This window comes from Homo sapiens, chromosome 15 (genome assembly GCF_000001405.40).
Source record: "Homo sapiens chromosome 15, GRCh38.p14 Primary Assembly".
In the NCBI taxonomy this organism is placed as follows: Eukaryota; Metazoa; Chordata; class Mammalia; order Primates; family Hominidae; genus Homo; species Homo sapiens.
In genome coordinates, this window is record NC_000015.10 from 64,057,448 (window position 1) to 64,071,438 (window position 13,991).

A 13,991-nucleotide genomic window follows, 5' to 3' on the forward strand; every position below is an offset into this window, starting at 1 on the left:
CTCCAGCCTGGGCAACAAGAGTGACACTCCATCTCTCAAAAAAAAAAAAAAAAAAAAAAAAAAAAAAAAAAAGAATCTATGTGTTCCAATCTATTTAAAAATAAAAATGTTTGGCCAAATGCAGTGGCTTACATCTGTAATGCCAGCACTTTGGGAGGCCAAGGCAGGAGAATTGCTTGAGGCCGGCAGTTTGAGCCTTGCCTGGGCAACATAGCAAGACTCTGTCTCTAAAAAATAGAAAAACTTAGTTGGGAATGGTAGTGCATGCTTGTAGTCTCAGCTACGTGGGAGATTGAGTCAGGAGGATCACTTGAGCCCACAATTTCAAGATTGCAATGAGCTATGATCACACCACTGCACGCCAACCTGGGTGACAAAGCAAGACGCTGTCTCTATAAAAAATAAAAATAAATACTAAAATAAAAAATGTTTAAATTTTTTAAAGGAGAGGGAAGGAAAGGAAAATGATATTTTCAAGAAACATGCCAACCAATAAGTATAGAAGAAGTAATGGAATTTTAAAAATCACCACTTAAGCAGCACATAGTAATAAGTGATTCAGGCAAGGAGCATCACTGGATAATAAAACCACTGAGGCCAGGCACGGTGGCTCGTGCCAGTAATCCCAACACTTTGAGAGCCGAGGTGGGTGGATTACCTGAGGTCAGGAGTTCAAGACCAGCCTGGTCAACATGGTGAAACCCTGTCTCTACTAAAAATATAAAAATTTAGCCAGGCGTGGTGGCAGGTGCCTGTAATCCCAGCTACTTGGGAGGCTGAGGCAGGAGAATCGCTTGAACCCAAGAGGTAGAGGTTGCAGTGAGCCAAGATCACGCCACTGCACTCCAGCCTGGGTGACAGAGTAAGACTCTGTCTCAATAAACAACAAAACAACAAAAACACTGAGTGAACGATTGTTGGGGAACAGGGTACTCATCTGGTCTCTAGGTATCACCTCACAAATTACTCATTTGTGAGTAATTTGGGAGGAATCTGACATATCCATCCTTAAGGAAATGACCAAACTAACTTAGCATCAATTATAATAAGACAAACTGACACCATGTGTCTACGGTGTGCAGGACCAAGATATCACATGATCTCCGTAGTTCTGCCAAAAATGTAGACTCTGAATCTAATCACAAGGACGCAATCAGACAAGTCCAGATTGAGGGATATTCTAAAAAACAACTGACCTGTATCCTTCAAAAATATCAGTGTCATGAAAGAAAAATATGGCTGAAGAGACATAACAAATTCAGTGTCACTTGTGATGAGTGACTGGATCCTGGATTGAAACAAATTATTTCAATAATGTTGAAAGAGACATTATTGGACAATTATGGAAATCTGAATATGGACATTTTATTAGATAATCATGTCAGTGATAACATTTTCTAAGTGGGAGAAGTATATTGTGGTTATAGGGGAGAATGTCCTTAATTCTTTTTTTTTTTTTTTTTTTTTTTTTGAGACAGAGTCTCACTCTGTCACCCAGGCTGGAATACAGTGGCATGATCTCGGCTCACTACAACCTCCACCTCCAAGGTTCAAGCGATTCTCGTGCCTCAGCCTTCCTAGTGACTGGGATTACAGGCACCTTCCACTATGCCTGGCTAATGTTTTTATTTTTAGTAGAGATGGGGTTTCGCCATATTGGCCAGGCTGGTCTCAAACTCCTGGCCTCAAGCAATCCACCTGCCTTGGCCTCCCAAAGTGCTGGGCTTACAGGCATGAGCCACCACTCCTAGCCAAATATCCTTAATTCTTGGAGCATGCATATTTGAGGAAAAATGGCTCTATGTCTACATCTGTTCCTCAAATGATTCAGCAAAAAAGAAAATTTGTATATATGTACAGTGAGAGAAAGCCAAATATGGCAAATGGTTAACAGTTGATAAGTGAATCTAGGTAAATTTTCGCAACTTCCCTGTAAGTTTGAATTTTTGTTGTTGTGGTGGTTGTTGTTGTTGAGACAGAGTCCCGCTCTGTCACCCAGGCTGGAGTGCAATGGTGCAATCTTGGCTCACTGCAACATCTGCCTGCTGGGTTCAAGCAATTCTCTGCCTCAGCCTCCTGAGTAGCTGGGATTACAGGCGCCTGCCACCACGCCTGGCTAATTTTTGTATTTTTAGTAGAGATGGAGTTTCACCATCTTGGCCAGGCTGTTCTTGAACTCCTGACCTCATGATCCACCCTCCTCAGCCTCCCAAAGTGCTGAGATTACAGGCGTGAGCTACCATGCCTGGCCAGTTTGAAATTTTTTTAAATCAAAAGTTGGGGAACATAGGGGTAATCACTCTGTGGTCACCCCCATGTACATGTTAATAAAATTTATATGCTTTTTCCCTAAACAAAAGAAAAGGCCAGGTGTGGTGGCTCATGTCTGTAATCCCAGCACTTTGGGAGGCTGAGGGAGGAGGACTGCTTGAAGCCAGGAGTTTGAGATCAGCCCGGGCAACATAGTGAGATCTCATCGCTACTAAAAATTTAAAAAAAAAAAAGTGGGGGAAAATATAACATAAAATTTACTACAGTAGGCTGGGCATGGTGGCTCACACCTGTACTCCCAGCACTTTGGGAGGTGAAGGCAGGCAGATCACCTGAGGTCAGGAGTTCAAGACCAGCCTGGCCAACATGGTGAAACCCTATCTCTACTAAAAATACAAAAATTAGCCAGGAGTGGTGGCATGTACCTATAATCCCAGCTACCCAGGAGGATGAGGCAGGAGAATCGCTGGAACCCGGGAGGTAGAGGCTGCAGTGAGCCAAGATTGCACCACTGCACTCCAGCCTGGGCCACAGAGCAAGACTGCATCGCAAAAAAAAAAAAAAAAAAAAAAAAAAAAAAAAATTTACTAAGTAGCAGAAACAGCAAAACTAAAAATTTTTGAAAGTGGTTGTCTCTAGGGATGTCTTAGTCTATTTGGACTGCTATAACAAAATACCATAAACTGAGTAGTTTATAAACAACAGAAATGTATTTCTTACAGTTCTGGAGGCTGGGAAGTCCAAGTTCAAGGCACTGGCAAATTGGTCTGGTGAGGGCCAACTCTCTGGCTCATAGATGGAGCCTTCTCATTGTGTCTTCACATGATGGTAGGGGCAAGGCAGCTGTCCCCGGCCTCTTTTATAAGGGCACTAATCTTTTAAAAGGGCTCTGGGACAGGCACAGTGGCTCATGTCTGTCATCCCAGCGCTTTGGGAGGCTGAGGTGGGAGTGAGAGGTGACAGCGTGCTAGCAGCCCTCACAGCCCTCGCTTGCTCTCGGCACCTCCTCTGCCCGGGTTCCCACTTTGGCGGCACTTGAGGAGCCCTTCAGCCCGCTGCTGCACTGTGGGAGCCCCTTCCTGGGCTGGCTGAGGCCAGAGCCGGCTCCCTTAGCTTGCGAGGAGGTGTGGAGGGAGAGGCCCGGGTGGGAACCGGGGCTGCGGGTGGGAACCGGGGCTGCGGGCGGTACTTGCGGGCCGTACTTGCGGGCCAGCGCGAGTTCCGGGTGGGTGTGGGCTCGGCGGGCCCCGCACTCAGAGCCGCTGGCTGGCCCTGCTGGCCCCAGGCAATGAGGGGCTTAACACCCGGGCCAGCCGCTGCGGAGGGTGTGCTGGATCCCCCAGCAGTGACGGCCCACCAGCGCTGAGCTTGATTTCTCGCCGGGCCTTAGCTGCCTCCCCACGGGGCAGGGCTCGGGACCTGCAGCCCGCCATGCCTGAGCCTCCCCCCTTCCCTCGGTGGGCTCCTGTGCGGCGGGAGCCTCCCTGACAAGCGCCACCCCCTGCTCCACAGAGCCCAGTCCCATCAACCACCCAAGGGCTGAGGAGTGCGGGCGCAGGGCGCGTGACTGGCAGGCAGCTCCACCTGCGGCCCTGGTGGGGGATCCACTGGATGAAGCCAGCTGGGCTCCTGAGTCTGGTGGGGACTTAGAGAACCTTTATGTCTAGCTAAGGGATTGTAAACGCACCAATGGACACTCTATCTAGCTACTCTGGTGGAGACTTGGAGAACCTTTATGTCTAGCGAAGGGATTGTAAATACACCAATCGGCACTCTGTATCTAGCTCAAGGTTTGTAAACACACCAATCAGCACCCTGTGTCTAGCTCAGGGTTTGTGAATGCACCAATCAACACTCTGTATCTAGCTACTCTGGTGGGGACTTGGAGAACCTTTGTGTCTACACTCTCTATCTAGCTAATCTAGTGGGGAGGTGGAGAACCTTTGTGTCTAGCTCAGGGATTGTAAACGCACCAATCAGCACCCTGTCAAAACAGACCACTTGGCTCTCTGTAAAATGGACCAATCAGCAGGATGTGGGTGGGGCCAGATAAGAGAATAAAAGCAGGCTGCCCCAGCCAGCAGTGGCAAGCCCTTCAGGTCCCGTTCCACACTGGAAGCTTTGTTGTTTTGCTCTTTGCAATAAATCTTGCTGCTGCTCCCTTTTTGGGTCCACACTGCCATTATGAGGTGTAACACTTACCAGGAAGGTCTGCAGCTTCACCCCTGAGCCAGTGAGACCACGAACCCACCAGAAGGAAGAAACTCCGAACACATCTGAACATCCAAACATCAGAAAGAGCAAACTCCGGAGACGCCGCTTTTAAGAACTGTAACACTCACTGCTAGGGTCCATGGCTTAATTCTTGAAGTCAGTGACCAAGAACCCACCAATTCCGGACACTGGAGGATTGCTTGAGGCAGAAGTTTGAGACCAGCCTGGGCAACATAGCGAGACCCTCTCTACCAAAAAATTAAAATTAGATGAGCATAGTGGTGTGCACCCATAGTCCTAGCTGCTTGAGAGGCTGAGGCTGGAGGATTGCTTGAGCCCCGGAGTGCGTGGTTTCAGTGAGCTATGATTGCGCTACTGCACTCTGGCCTAGGAGGCAGAGTGAGACCCTGTCTCAAAAAGAAAAAAGAAAGCAGGGGGTGGGAAGTGGGGGTGTGCTCTGCTCTCATGACCTAATCAACACCCACCTCCTAATACTCATTAATAAGTTCCCACCTCCGAATACCATCACTTTGGGGGTTAGGATTTCAACATATGAATTTGGAGGGTACATAAACATTCAGATCACAGTAGTGAGTATCACTGGGTTGGGCCAAAAGGGGTACTTCTAGTTTTCATCTTATATTTTTTGAACTTTTTTGGTTTTGCTATATTTCTATATTACTTCTATGATTAAAGAAAACTAGGTTAATTAATAAAACAAAATATCTACAACAGAAGCTGTTCTGAGGATGGTAAGCTTATATCCATGGGGGTCTCTTCATTCCAGAAAAAAAATGAATAAGCATTGCATTTAATGCCCATTAATGCTCATTAAGTTTTTAGACCTATTAGTGAGTGCTGAGGTCCTTAAAGCTCATGCAGATTTCCTCAGCTTCATTTCTGTTCAACAACAGCACTTAGTAAAGGGTAATGTATTCTTTTGCAAAATCTTGCTAAGAGGAAAATAATTGCCAAGAGCATCAAACATTGCTAATGTGAAGACACATTAAACTGTAAATATCCTTCAGAAAATGATGAAAATGGCAAAATGAGTAAAATCATATCTTGATTATTGTGTCCAGCTACGTCCCATTTATTTCACCAGGAAGTTCTATGTCTGTCAATCTACCTGGACCCTATTTTCAATCCACAAAATAGATAAGGAACCTAGAAAATTTTGCACTGTGTTCTGTTAATTCACTTTAATCAATAGGGAAAATGACTTGCCCAAATCACGCTGCTGATTTTTGGCAAATGCTCGACTGGAAATCAGGCCTCTTCCGGTATATCCTAAGCCCATAGGTCCTGACCCCATGGCCTCTGATTCTTCCATGCTATGTGAGTATGGACACGTCACTCAACATTTCCTGGCCTCAGTGTTCTTACCTGTAAAATGAAGTTGGAGAATTAGATTAACACAAAATTAGCCCTCACTGTCCCTGATGGTAGCCACGTTTTTCAGTGGGAGAAATGTAGGTCTCACAAGGCTCTGCAACTTGGTAAGTTTCACCTTGCAAGGCAATCTTGCACACATACTCACTTTACATTCTGTCTCATCTGAATAGACTCAGCTTAATGTAGCCAAAAAAAAACAAAAACCAAAACAAAAAACACCCACAGTTGTGACAGCCTGAGGCATCCAGCTACAAGAAAACTCAGTTGACAGGACCCAGTTTAGCTAAATTTGCTTAATCAGAACAACAACAAAAAAAGCCTAGGAACCATAACACTCCTTAAAAAACAAAAAGCAGGTCGGTAACGGTGGCTCATGCCTATAATTCCAGCACTTTGGGAGGCCCAGGCAGGCGAACCACGAGGTCAGGAATTTGAGACCAGGCTAGCCAACATGGTGAAACCCCATCTCTACTAAAAACACAAAAAATTAGCTGGGCGTGGTGGCGGGCACCTGTAATCCCAGCTACTCGGGTGTCTGAGGCAGGAGAATTGCTTGAACCCAGGAGGTGGAGGTTGCAGGAAAAAAAAAAAGCAAACACACACACACACACACACACACACACACACACTCACACACAGAGAGATTTATTAAGCTAATAAGTTTTGGTAAAAGGTCATGATCATTTTTAATTCTGCATGAATCAGTGGATTAGCAACTGTAGACCAAACTCAGTATTAATCTCGCTTGTTGTTAATGATGCTAAAGGATCCTCGGAACCCCTAGAAAGCCAACATTCACTGTGGCTTCTATAGTTAGACATTCAAAACCAGAAGGAACTTTAGAGATCACCTAACACATTAACTTTATAGAAGACAGAAGGAGGCCCACCAGAGCAAGAGTGACTTACCCAAGTTCACACTTGCCTGGGGCAGAGCCAAGATTAAAGGTCAGGCCTCTTGACCCCCAGCTCAGTGGATATTCCTCATGTGAAATGCTAAAGGCTGAAGCCCTGGGTAAAGCCAGATCCACTCATTATGACCAAGGTGAGCCTGAAATAATTCAACAAGAAATGTTGGAAGGCCAATATGCAAAAAACACACCAGTAGCTGTAGGAGACACCTGAGGAGACATGAAATAGAAAATACATTAGAAATAGCTAAGAATGTGAGCAGTGGGCTACAGCTCCAGCCCCCAAGAGTTTGGATAAAATCAAGGGAAACTTTCCCAAGAGAGAAAATACATTGTATTTCCCACCTTAAAAATATATTTTTAAAAATGGTTTTATAAAAGACACATATACCACAAGAGGTGTTTTGGTTTTGTTTTAAAGACAAGGTCTTGCTGTGTCACCAAGGTGGGAGTACAGTGGTGCAATCACAGCACACTGCAGCCTCGACCTCCTGAGTTCAAGTGACCCTCCGCCTTAGCTTCCCTAGTACCTAGGATGGCAGGCACATGCCACTATGCCCAACTATTTTAATTTATTTTTGTAGAGACAGGGTCTTGCTATGTTGCCCAGGCTGGTCTCAAACTCCTAGCCTTAATCGATCCTCCCACCTTGCCCTCCCAAAGTGCTGGGATTACAGACGTGAGCCACTGTGCCCTGCGTACATGAGTCTTTTTTGGTGTTTTAAATAATATTTATTAGGGGTTATCAACTTATCAAAAGGAAACATTCATTGCAGATAAACTTTTTAAAAGACAGAAATAAAATACTCTTAAAATGTTGATATTTCTTCTATTTTTATACATAAATACACTCTTGTTTTTAATTGGGATCACTTGGCATATATTATTTTGTATCTTGCCTGTCTTAATTTTGTCTTGAGAATTTCCCATGTAATTAAAGAGTCTTTGAAAACATCAAGATTCCATTAAATAAGTGTAGTATCAATTATTTAATGCCTTACATGTTGTTAGTCATTAAGTTGCACATTTTTCATGATAAAAAATGATGCTGTGATCATCATATGATTCATAACGTAGGGTTTGAAAATAATGGTCATGGATAAGATAAACTATTCAATAAGGGATGTCAAGACAATAACTAGTCATCTGGATACAAAACTGAGTTGGTTCAGCATTTATACCAGTATAAATTCTCAGTAGTCTGTACTGAGTATTTATACTGAGTATTTAGTAAATTATACTGAGTACTTATGCCAGTGTAAATTCCAAATGACTCAAAGATTGAAATGTTTAAAAATAAAATCATAAAAGTATTAAAGGGAAGGATAGGAAAAATATTCCCCTAGGAGAGGGAAAGACCTTTCTAATTATGACCAAAAAAGTCCAGGATACATAAAATTAAGGAATGACAAATTAAATCCCATAAAAGTATATTTATGGCAATTAAAAAAGAGAAAAAGTAAAAAAGGACAAACTGGATAGGAATGGTAGCTCATACCAGTAATCCCAACAGTTTGGGAGGCCGAGGCAGGAGGATTGCTTGAGGCCAGAAGTTCAAGAGTCTGGACAACACAGCAAAACCCTGCCTCTACAAAAAATTTAAAAATTAGCCAGGCATGGTGGCCCATGCCTGTAGTCCCAGCTACTTGGGAGGCTGAGGTGGGGGAATTGCTTGAACCTGGTGATTGTGCCACTGCACTCTAGCACAACATATGCTAAAATGTAAGCAAAAAAGGAGCATATGTGTTCTGGCATTTACAGGCATAAAAAACTCTGAAGCTACAAGAGCGATTAATCATGAAACCTACTGGAAAAGGATGTGAACTAAATCGGGAAGGAGTCTTTTCACTGTATATACCTTTGAATGCTTTTTGATGTTGAACCACCTGTGGTATTACTCATTCAAAAACTAAATAAAAGCCAGGCATGGTGGCACGCAGCTGTCATCCCAGCTACTTGGGAGGCTGAAGCAGGAGAATCACTTGAACCCAGGAGGCGGATGTTGCAGTTAGTGGAGATTGCACCACTGCACTCCAGCCTGGGCGACAGAGCAAGACTCCGTCTCAAAAAAAAAAAAGAAAGAAATGAATAAAAATATAAAAATCTCAGCTACTTGGGAGGCTGAAATGGGAGAACCACTTGAGCCCAGGAGTTCAAGACCAGCCTGGGCAACATAGCAAGACCTGATCTCTACAAAAAACAAACACACAAAAATTAGCTGGGTGTGGTGGCTTGCACCTGTAGTCCCAGCTATTCAGGAGGCTGAGACAGGAGGATTGCTTGAGCCCAAGAGTTAGAGGCTACAGTGAGCTATTATCTTGCCACTGCACCCCAGCCTGGGCAACAGAGCAAGATCCTGGTATCTTAAACAAACAAAAAACTGCAGATGACTAACATGTTGTTAGTCATTAAGTTGCACATTTTTCATGATAAAAAATGATGCTGTGATCGTCATATCATTCATGACATAGGGTCAAACATGTTTACACAACAAGAAAATAGGAAATATATTTGCAGTATATGTGACAGAAAATGCTAATATTTGTATTGTATAATTAGCTTTTTAAAACATTAACATTCCAGTAGAGGCCAGGCACAGTGGCTCACACCTGTTATCCCAGCGCTTCGGGAGGCTAAGGCTGGAGGATTGCTTGAGCCTAGGAGTTTGAGGCTGCAGTGAGTATGAAAGCACCACCGCACTCCAGCCTGGATGACAGAGAAAGACTCTTATCTCAAAAAAAAAAAATTCTACATGTTTAACCTTACAAATAGATGCTAATGAAAAACCTTTTCAAAATCCTCCACCTTGGGCAAATATTTTTTAAAATAATAATACCCAATATTACTGTAGAACAGGAACACCTACCCCACTCTTGGTTGGGTGTCAATTGGTACAATTTCTCCAGAGGCCAATTCAACAATATGTATCAAAGCCTCAAAATCATTCATAATCTTTGGCAAAGAGTTCCATATCTAAGAAAGTCTTCAGTGATGGGCCATGTGCCGAGGCTCACACCTGTAATCCCAGCACTTTGAGAGGCCGAGGCAGGCAGATCACTAGGTCAGGAGATGGAGGCCATCCTGGCTAACACAGTGAAACCCCGTCTCTGCTAAAAATACAAAAAATTAGCTGGACGTGGTGGCATGAACCTGTGATCCCAGCTACTCAGGAGGCTGAGGCAGGAGAATCGGTTGAACCTGGGAGGTGAAGGTTGCAGTGAGCTGAGATCACATCACTGCACTCCAGCCTGGGTGACAGAGCAAGACTCCCTCTCAAAAAAAAAAAAGTCTTCAGTGATAATCACTCCAGTCAGAACAAAGGCACAGGCTGCAATAAGTCCATGGTGGTCTGGTACCACTTAGTGCAGCCCGGTTAGAGGGGCAGTGAGTGTGCCCTCAGGGCCTTTGGGAAAACCCAGGGCAGCTGATGCCAAGTGGGTATGCTCTGTCACTAAGAAATAATGCTTTGCTGCCATCTGGTGTTCTCCCAGATAATCGCACCCACCCCAGAGGAAAAACTCTCCAAGTTAGCACCGAGCAGCCCTTTCCTCTATTCTCCCCTACCCCGGAAGATGCGGGTCTCGCTCTGCCACCCAGGAGGGAGTGCAGTGGCGCAATCAGGGTTCACTGCAGCCTCAATATCCTGGCCTCAAGCGATCCTTCCATCTCAGCCCCCCAAGTAGCTGGAACTACAGGTGTGCACCACCACGCCCTGCTAATTTTTTGATTTTTTGTACAGACAGGGTCCCGCTATGTCGCCTAGGCTGGTCTCAAACTCTTGAGCTCTAGCCATCCGCCCACCTTGGCCTCCCAAATGTTGGGATTACAGGCGTGAGTCACTGCACCTGGCCTTCTCTATTTTTAACAAACCCTAATAAAGCATTTACTAGGTTCCAGGCGTTGTGCTCAGCACTTTACAAGCATTCCCTTTTTTAGTCCTCATAAGGGCCCCACGAAATAGGTAATTTTATCATCCCCATTTTACAAACGAGGGAACTAAAATACAGAGAAGCTAGGTAACTTGCCCAAAGTCACACAGCTACTAAGTGACTGAGTATTGGATTAGAACAAGATGGCAGTTTGGCACCAGTGTCTGTGCTCTTGACCACATCCTTTGTGAAGAGGATCCAGGGTCTGCATGGTGCTAACAGCACTTGGAGAGAACCTGACAGCCCATACAGCAACATCCTCTCCACATCCAGTACATCTGCCCCAAATAAGTCCATATCAGAACTGGGTTCGCTCATGCCCTATAGGCAGTCTAACCTGAGTCATGGACAACCACCAGTTCAGGCTAAATCCAATGAAGTTTTTTGGAAAAATCTTTACTTGTATTTCATATATACAAAAAGATATCAGAAATAATGTGGCTGAGCACAGCGACTCATGCCTTTAATCCCAGCACTTTGGGAGACCAAAGTGGGAGGATCGCTTGAGCCCAGGAGTTTGAGACCCCCTAGGCAATATAGTGAGACCTCATCTCTACAAGAAATTTAAAAATTAGCTAGCTTTGGTGGCGTGCATCTGTAGTCCCAGCTACCCGGGAGGCTGGGGCGGGTGGATAGCTTGAGCCTGGGAGATAGAGCCATGATCGTGTCACTGCACTCCAGCCCCGGTGACAGAGTGAGACCATGTCCCAGAAAAAAAAAAAAAAAGAGTATTAACAGTAGTGGTGCATCAGTAATGAGTTTGAACCCCAACAATTCACTGGCTTGTTTTCTACCATGGTATTAACACATGCAGAAAACCACCTGGGATATGAGTGCAATGAGACTTTTATAGCAATCCTACCCCTTCCTAGTAAACTGGCCCCCACTAACTACAGTTAATTGTGTCCTGCTGGACACATCTGCAGTTTTGGTAGCAGTTGCTTCATGGTGGAGCTGGGAAAGCTGCTTTTTTTTTTTCCTTTTTTTCTTCCTTTCTTTTATTTTTTTCTTTATTTTTTGAGACAGCATCTCACTCTGTTGCCAAGGCTGGAGTGCAGTGGCGCAATCTTGGCTCACTGCAACCTCCGCCCCCCAGGTTTAAGCAATTCTCTGCCTCAGCCTCCCGAGTAGCTGGGATTACAGGCACGTGACACCATGTCCAGCTAATTTTTGTATTTTTAGTAGAGATGGGGTTTCACCATCTTGGCCAGGCTGGTCTTGAACTCCTGACCTCGTGATCCACCCGCCTCGGCTCCCAGAGTGCTTGGATTACAGGCGTGAGCCGCTGCACCCAACCTAAGCCACCACGCCCGGCCATAAGCTTCTTATTTGTAACGGTCTAAGAAAGCAGTGGATAAATAATTAGTTGAGCGTGGTAGCTCTCATCTGTAGTCCCAGCTTCTTGGGAGGCTGAGGTGGGACAATTGCTTGAGCCCAGTAGTTTGAGGCTGCAGTGAGCCCTGATGGTGCCTTTTCACTCCAGCAGGGGCGACAGAGAGCGACCCTGTCTCAAAAGCAAAAACAAGAAGGTAGTGGCTCCTACTGGGGCTCAGAAAGCAATAACCCAAAATATGGCTCCTTGGTGTGCTGTGAATTAAAGAAGAATAGAAAGCCTCAGAAGCAGCCTCAAAAGCAAAGACTCTCTCTGACCATATCCTGCCCTGCTGTCTCCTGCCCCTTCCTCCTCCAAAGGGAGTCATAGAAAACAGAATCTGTCTTCCCCAAGGGAGGAAATAGAAACCAGAACCTCTTTTCAAAGCAAGCCATACCAGTCTGGGAAACATGGCAAAGTCCCATCTCTACAAAAAAATACAAAAAAAAATTTAGCTGGGCATGGTGGTATGCACCTGTGGTCCCAGCTACTTGGGAAGTTGGGGTGGGAGGATCACTTGAGCCTGAGAGGTTGAGGCTGCAGTGAGCCATGATTGTGCCACTGCACTCCAGCCTGGGCAACAGAGCAAGACCATCTCAAAAACAAAAACAGTAACAACAACAAAAAGCAAACCACAAAACCTAGAAATATTACTCTAACTTTCCCCCGCCTTTCTGTGCATGAGCTGGCCATAAAGAAATTCTCTGACCTGCCTTATCTAACAGTAGGTCATAAGACTGCCCCATACCCAGGAGGAAGGAATGCTACACAGAAAGGCCAAGAAGAATCTGAAGAGATAGTCCTTGCTGGGTTTCCCCACTTAGTCCATTACCATTAGATCGCACTTTTTGTCCAATCACATTTCTACACAATTGTCCACTCTTCGTCAAACCTAAGCAGAAAAATAAGACAGTTTTCCCTGGGTCTTTGGATTCTTCCTATCTGAAGCCTGCTGTGTCACATAAAACTTGGATTGACCACATTTGTTATGCTTTTCTCTTGTTACCCTGTCTTTTGTCACGGGGGTGTTGGCCATGACCTTTATGATGGGTGAGGAAAGGTATCACACCTTCTGCCCCTATACTCCCAAAGTTGTGAACCCTCAGGGCTCTGGGGGGTTATTAAAGGAGGGGGGAGCCCAGTGCTCAGCTAGCATTACTTGTAAAGCAGAGTTATTAACCCGGGGTCCACTGGCTCCTTAGCAAGTCTGTGAATGTCCTGGAGTCACATGCAGTTTCATGTGAGTGCCTTTTTCTCCCTAGGGAGAGGGCCCATTCCACATCTTTTATCTGATTTTCCAATTGGTCTGACTTTTCAGAAAGGATAATCATTCTTGTAAATCAGGAGTTTGCTAATGGCACACAGGCCAAATCCAGCCCAATGCTGGAATTTTGTACAACCCACAAGCTAAGATGGTTTTTATATTTTTAAACGGTTGAAAAAATTAAAAAGGAAAATATTAATTCATGACACATGAAAATTATATGAAATTCAAATTTGTGTCCATAAAGTTTTCTTGGAGTGCAATCATGCTTATTTGTTTACAGACTATCAGCTGCTTTTGTGCTACAAGGGCAGAGTTGAATAGTTACAACAGAGCATATGGCTTGAAAAGCCTAAAATATTGCCTATGTGGCCCTTTTCCAAAAACGTTTCCTAACCCTTGCCAAACATGGACCAGATAACACTACTTCTGACTATATATGTACCTCTATTTTTCACTTCTATGTAGATACCATTATGATTAATAAAGTTTAAATTCATGTTCTAATATAATTAATGCAGTAGATGTTAGTTTTTTGACCCCTCTCACTCTACTATAGAATTCCCACCATGTGAGTCTTGCTGGGGGGACAGAGTCCACCTCCCCACACCAAAGGTCAGATTTTCTTTTCTCCCG